Source organism: Homo sapiens, chromosome 10, assembly GCF_000001405.40.
Source record: "Homo sapiens chromosome 10, GRCh38.p14 Primary Assembly".
Taxonomy (NCBI): Eukaryota; Metazoa; Chordata; class Mammalia; order Primates; family Hominidae; genus Homo; species Homo sapiens.
This window is the reverse complement of record NC_000010.11, coordinates 124302620-124309700: the sequence shown is the minus strand read 5'-3', so window position 1 is coordinate 124309700 and position 7081 is coordinate 124302620. Positions and strand designations below refer to the sequence as shown.

Genomic DNA, 7081 nt, shown 5'->3' with positions numbered 1-7081 from the left:
GTATGTCTTTTTTCATGAACTTTTTCTTTTAGCAGTTTTATTTCTGAGAATTCTTTCTGGCTTTCTCATTGCTCCATTTTAAGCAGAGCCTGTTTTCTTTTTAGGGACACAATACCTTCTTGACTTTCTCCAAAGGCACTAACCTTTTAAAAGTTCCTTTCTGTTCTTTGCATTCTGTTTGTTTGTTCTTACCTTCCACATGGTTGGTGTCCTTCATTACCTGGTTTGGTTGCCATATTTATGAAGAGAGAAGCGGTGGGTGATGAACATTTGGAGTTGGTGGGAGTTTCGTCGCCTTTAGGGCAGATGCAGTTTGGTACCGGGGGGGCCTTAACAACCTGAACATTTGTTGATTCCTTCAGCACCCGGGAATGCTATTCTATCGTTTATGTACTTACACATTTTCTCCACTTTCCCCCTAGAATTCCTACTAAATTCTAGTGTTTCCCCCAGAGCCTTCTGCTCAGAGTGGGAGTCCTGAGAGCTCTCTGATGTGGGCAGTGCCTGTTGCCTGGTTGGTTTTACACTGGTGTGAACAGGCAAGGAAAAGGCAGGCCAGTGAGGCCCCACCTGCCAGGCACTCTCACACACACACACAAATGCATGCACGCATGCACACACACACACACACACACACACACCCCACACACCACCCTCTGCTGCAGGGAGGCCCATCATCATCAGATGGGGGTCTGGGGCTCAGAGCTGGGGGCATAAAGCCCGTGCTGGAATTAGGACCCTGGTGATTCTGCAGCCAGACCGTGGCATTGTGAGGAAAAGGGCAGGGAGGCTTACGGAAGCCTGGGTGGGAGAATGGAGAAGACTTGCGGGCTGAAGGGAGAGGAAGGGGGGAGGTTGGTGAAGGGCCATCACACATATAGAGCACGCGTGTGCATGTGTGTGTGCATGTGCATGTGTGTTTGTGTTTGTGTGTGTGTGCATGTGTGTATATGGAGGGGGTAGGGGAGAGCTGGGCAGGGTGGAGGGAAAAATGCCTCTTCAACTCTGGGCCAGGCTCCAAGGAGCCCTGGAGGCAGATAGGCTGGAATTCCTCACCCAAGTGCCACCCTCTTTCTCCCCTGACAATGGCCCAGGAGACGCCCTCTGTGTTTAGGGCAACTGGTGCCACCCACACTGTGCTCCAGTGAAGGTCGTGATGCCCTGTCACATGTGTGAGCTCGTTTCTTCTTAGCTCTTGTGCCCTGAGTCGGAGCGTGGACCTAGGCATTACCCAGACTTCGGTGTGGCCCTTGGCCCTGCTGGTGACCTCGGGCAAACTGCTTAACCTCTCAAAGCCTCCATTTTGTCATGTGCCACTGGGACAATCACAGTTTTTGTCACTTAACTTTGCTAAGCCTCAGGTGCAGCGATGTTAAGTGGGGCTGTGATGCCCGCGTGTCACGGTGGATGTGAGCATGAGAACAGTCATGGACGGGAAGCGTTTGTGGTGCCCTTGTGGTGTTCTTGCTTCAACTCTAGAGTTGAGGAAGCTCACCCAGGGCTTGGGGCTCCCTCAGCATCACCGATGGACCCGGGTTCCATGACTGTGGGTGGAGAGCGAGGTCTCTGGATCTTGGGAGCTTCCCCTTCTGTTTTGCCTGTTGAGCTGGACAGAGCCTCAGAACAGCCCAGACTTCCATGTTGCAGAATCGCTTTCCAAACGGGGAATGTGTGGTGATTCCTGACACCTTCCCCAGACACAGGCAAGGCTTTACGAGGGGGTCACACCTCTGCTGAGCCCTGGCAGAAGGGAACTGGCTTTGACTTGCCCAGCATAACAGAGCTTGACTGCAAACAGCGATCGTCCGTTTTACAGCCCAACGGCTGCTTGGAGAAACATGTTGTGATGCAGAGCTTGCTGGGTTCCTGCGCACGGTTCAGAATTTGCAAGTAAAACGGATTTTGTGTCATTCACGCTCATCTGGAATTCGAATCAGCTCACCGCTGCCCAGCTCCCTGCTGGTGCTGGCTGCGGCTGGCGCTCGCTATGCCTGGTGTGGTATGCTTGCTCTGCATACCATGCCACACTCGGGGGAGTGTGGCAGCTGCATGTTGGTCCAGTTACGGTTATGGTTACGGTCACAGTTACTGTTTGCAAAGGGTTTCCACTTGCTGGCTTGTGTATAGGCCTCCCACAACCCTGTGAGATGGACAAACTGGAAACTGTGCCCATTTTCCAGGAGAGCCAGGGCCAGCCTCATGGGCCTGAGGCCTGTGCAGTTGCAAAGGGCCCTGTGATCAGGCCCTGAGCTTCTTGGGTTAATGCTCTTCTGCCATCATCTTGAAATTTTAATAATTTTATCTTTGAACTGGTGTTTTGCAGGTGAAGTCTAATGGGACCATGGAGTGGGCACATGAGCTGGAGATTCATGCAATAGACATGCCTGCTGTTCCTTGCTGCCTTGTCAGCATGTGGTGTTCTTGATGCCCCATGAGCATAGCATTCCAGGGAAACCATGATGCATGGAAGTGTGACTCAAAGTGAGTACAAGGGATACGTGTTGCATGCACAGCTGAGTGAGCAAGGGCATAGACAGCATTGACAGGCCACGCTTTCCATTCAAACCAGAACTTGCTTAGAATGCGGAAAAAAGGCAGTGATGTTGGAAGAAACACAAACGACCAAGGAAACCTGTCATGCCTTTTCTTACTCATGTCACTTCCCTGTGTTAGTCAAGCACTTACACTGAAAGTGATGACACAGAAGGAAAGGGGAAGACTGGGCAGCCATAGTTCCTTTTTGCTTCACTTCTTCCTTACCCATCAGTAAGGCAAAGGCAGAGAGTGTTGGTAGAATGTGATTCTATCCAGGAGTGAAATAAAAACAGAAAACAGTTGAGTTTTTGTGTGTGCAGCATTTCTACTGTTCTAGCAAGGACAAAAATATACTTGTGTGTACAAAATATCAAATACAAATTATAATTTTGTTGATTTCACATATGAGTTAAATTGTTCTTATATTTGTATCTAAAACTGGTATTGTGCAATATAATGATGAATGGTAAAATTCGTGTTAGTAATTAAAAATTTTAATTTTTCTGTACTTAGAATGGCATCAAATAGCAAATAAAAAATATCATGATAAGATGAGAGAGAGAGACTGGAAGAAAGAAGAAAGCTCTGTATTTTAGTAACTTCAATGATACCTTTTTCCTGCTTTTTGAAAAAGAGGTCCCACATTTTCATTTTGAACAAGGAGCCCCACAGTTGTGAGAACAGCCTGACAGAGGGCATGGAGACTGAGGATAGGAGGCCCACTCAGATCCCAGAGTTATTCAGAGGTGAGTTGGGGTAGAATGCTGGACTCTGGACTTTGATGGAGTCTAGGAGCAGGATCAATGATGGTGGTGATGATGGTGGTGGCAATGATGATGATGATGATGATGGTGTTGAAGATGATGATGATGGTAGTGGTAATGGTGGTGGTGGTGGTGGTGATGATAATGGTGCTGGTGATGATGGTGATGATGATTATGATGGTGATGATGGTGGTGGTGGTGATAATCATGATGATAATGAAGATGGTGGTAGTGATGATGGTGGTGGCAATGATGATGATGATGATGGTGTTGAAGAAGATGATGATGGTAGTGGTAATGGTGGTGGTGGTGATGATTATGATGTTGATTGTAGTGGTGGTGATAATGGTGATGATAATGAAGATGGTGGTGGTGATGATGGTGGTGGCAACGATGATGAATGATGGTGTTGAAGATGATGATGATAGTGATAATGATAATGGTGGTGGTGATAATGGTGATGATAATGAAGATGGTGGTGATGATGATGGTGATGACGGTGATGGTTATAAAGTAACATTACAGAGCTAAGCATGATATATGACACATGCAGTAGCTCATTCATATTCTTGGCAATCTTGAGAGGTAGATATAATTACCTTCTACTTTTCAGAGGAAGAAACCAATGCTTTGAAAGGTTGAGCAACCTGTCCACATCACTTGACCGGCAAGCAGCACAGCCAATGACCGTGGACCCATAGACCTCAGCCACCAACTTCTGTGCTGTCCTGCCTGCTAGGTGTAACATACCTAATTCTTTTGCCCCTGTCTCCTTGGATGTCAGGCTCCTCCTGGTAAGAAACAGGGCCCTTTGTTTTATTTATTTTTCTTTTAAAATCATGGATCATGAGATTCCTCTTCTGGGCATCCTTTAACTGATAACACTTCCTGTCTTGCCCTCCAACATTCTCCACACAGCAAGAAGACAGAGTTATCTACTAAAAAATGTAAATCTGATCATGTTGCTCCCTGCTTAAAAGCCTTTGATGGTTCCCAGCACACTCAAAATGAAACGCAAACTCCCTGAACACAACCTTCCTTAACTACCCATGTGATCTGCCTCAAGGCTTCTCTCCACCCTCATCTCTGTCCCTGCTCCTTGAGTCACTGTGCTCTAGCTGCACTGGCCTATTTTTGTTCCTCCAATCTGCTAAGCTCTTTCCCACCCAGGACCAGCTGATATTCCTCCTTCTGCCTGGGATACTGTTCACTTCCATCGCTCTTTGCTTGGCCAACTGCGGCTCATTGTTTACTTTACATCATAACTGTAAATACAAGATTCCACATTTGTTTTGATCACCTGGCACATAAATGATGCTTGGTAAATAACAAATTACTTCATTTTCTGTTATTTAGCCAGCACTAGCCAAAAAAAGGAAAAAAAAAAAATAATGAGGATAATATATGATGGGTAATGAAATGTCCCAACTGTACAGAAGTTTTTCAAAGTGGTGATAAAGTCTCCTTTGCTTCCCTGCAGCCCTCCTTGGCCCCTCCCTGTTGGGTGTACATCCTTCCAGACTGTTTTCCATGCACTTCGGTGCCAGGATGATTATCAAGATGCCACTTTCTTTGCCATCCTTGTATCCTTCCTCCAGATATACAAGGTAGCCAAACCTTTATGAATGCAGCAGGGGTTTGCTAACAGCTTTTGGAGATCAGGCCACACTCTACATATAACAATCCACCATGTAACTTAGCCAGGAATTATTTATCAACCCCCCTTCTTTGAAGAGGATGGGGGACACAGAGAACACAGACGTCACCCAGGCATTTGCTTCAAAAGCCAGGTAGCCAGGAGCTGTTGGGCTTGGTTATCTCATGGTGGCAGGCCTCTAAGGGGGGATGTGAACCAACGTGAAGGAGGTGTGTGGGTTGGGCTGGCAAGGCTCAGGGTTTTGTGGTTCTAGAAGGGGCAGGAACCTGGGCCCTACTCACACACATCCCCTGGAGGGGCTGTGGTGAGGGAAGGCTTTTGGAAGGACATGGATGTCGGGGACACCCAGAGAGAGGGACTGCAGGTGCCCAGGCTCCTGGTTCACTAGGATATCTGTTCCCAAGCTTGGCACAAAGACAGCAGAGCCATCCACCTTCATAGGATCACCTGGGTTGGATCAACTGGGTAGGATCATCTGGGTTGGATACAAGTGCGGAACCCCCAGAGCTGTTGGCAAGCCCTTAGAGAGGACTGCTGGGGCCTGACGATGCAAGACCCCTTCCCTGAATTTCCTGGAGGTCTTTGACCCTGGAGGGACCACTCAACACAAAGGCATTGTATTAATCATCTTGTTGAATGGGGGCTCCTAGACAGGTTTGTGTTGATTTAGGGCAAGCTAAGAAATGTGATATCTTAACACCTAAGTAACATAATACCACTGGACTGGATGACTTGCGGTCCCTGCCAGCTATGGCCCCCTTGGCAGGCCACATCTGGAATCAGCTCCTGCTTTCTGGGGTGGTGTGGGGGTGGGGCGGCAAAGGTGCCTTCTTCTCAGGGCCCCATATTTGTGGCCTGGGCTCCCTGCTGAAGGCCCTACCCCAGTGGGAGGTGGGATTCCATAAGGGGAGGCAGAGACCAGGCTGCAGCCTATAGAGGAGGGCCGTGATGCTCCCCCTGCTCTGGTAGAGACTGCCTTTTGCAGGTAGGCTGCCCACAGCTCCCTGGGGTGCTCACATGGTGGCTACTGGGGTTCAAACCAGGGAGCTGATAATTTCCTGGAAGCTCCTCCCAGACAGAGACATGAATGGCCAAGTCAAGGCCACAAGCTGGAATGTGAACCAGCACTATCTACCTCTGAAACCTAAGCTCTTGAAGGAGGAGGCACTGTAGAGGCAGGGAGGGCATTCTTGCCCTCTTGGAATTTTCCTGGCCGCCCCGAAGGGTGCCTTGGCCGTATTGTGGTAGACCAGCCCTGCACTTCCCGGGACACATCTTAGTCTTGGGCATGGAGAGTGGGATGTTAGGACTGGGGAGCCCTCCTGAACCTGAGGCCAGCCTCCTCTTTCCAGTAACCTCATAGATCAGCCCACGTGGGGCTCTCAGTCAGGCTGGGACTTAGGCTTATTGGGATCACCAGGGGGTGGCCAGATGTGGCACAGTTCTGGGTGGCCTCAGTTTTCTGTCCTGGACAATGGGCTTGATCATCTCCCGGGACCTGTACCAGGATGAGCCTGGCAAAGCTGTTTTCAAGGCTGGGCCAAGAGGCTGAAGTTTCCAGGTTCCTCTGGGTCAGAAACTGTTCAGAACATTTTGCCAAAATGCCAGCCGGCTCTGTTCAGGACGGGGCAATGGGGATCACTTGCCAGAGACAGCCCCTGACTCCTCAAGAGACTGGGTTGTGTGGGAGGGGAGCCCAGTGAACCCTGGGAGGTGGGCAAGTCCCAGGATCACGATTTCTCATGTCCAGGAACAGCCTTCACTGCGAGTGCAGAGGGGGCTCCGGTCCTGGTGGGCCCAGTGTCTGAGATAGTGGCCTTTGTGTCATTGCAAAAAACTTTGGCTCTCATGATAAAAGACACACATGCTTACATAAAATTTGGAAAATACAGACAAGTATAAAGAAGACAATTCAAATGACTGTAATCTCACCACTCAGGGGTTACTACATTTGGAGTTTTGGTGTATTTTATTTTAGGATTTTTAAAGTGCATGTTTGGATAGATTTATGAAATCAGGACTGTACAACTTCAGGCCACACTCTACATATAACAATCCACTGTGTAACTTAGCCAGGAATTATTTATCAACCCCCTTTCTTTGACATTTAAATTCTTTGTTCTTT

At 48.5% G+C, this 7081-nt stretch overlaps 1 long non-coding RNA gene across 2 annotated transcripts, besides 1 other annotated feature; it reads left to right on the top strand.

Moving 5' to 3' along the window:
- Positions 1172-2159: an enhancer, noted in NCBI's record as "H3K4me1 hESC enhancer chr10:125996111-125997098 (GRCh37/hg19 assembly coordinates)". NCBI's record gives its function as "activates a minimal SCP1, AML or CMV promoter by ChIP-STARR-seq in primed H9 embryonic stem cells {active_cell/tissue: H9 hESC(primed)}" and the evidence as "EXISTENCE:reporter gene assay evidence [ECO:0000049][PMID:30033119]".
- On the top strand, positions 2330-5052 carry LOC107984184 (uncharacterized). 2 transcript variants are annotated; one of them, XR_001747310.1, is made up of 4 exons: positions 2330-2481; positions 3170-3281; positions 3913-4093; positions 4780-5052. It is a non-coding gene; the product is annotated as an uncharacterized LOC107984184 (long non-coding RNA). The 2 variants fall into 2 exon arrangements; XR_001747309.2 differs by lacking the exon at positions 2330-2481 and having other exon boundaries at positions 3049-3281.
- The last annotated feature ends 2029 nt before the right edge of the window (positions 5053-7081 follow it).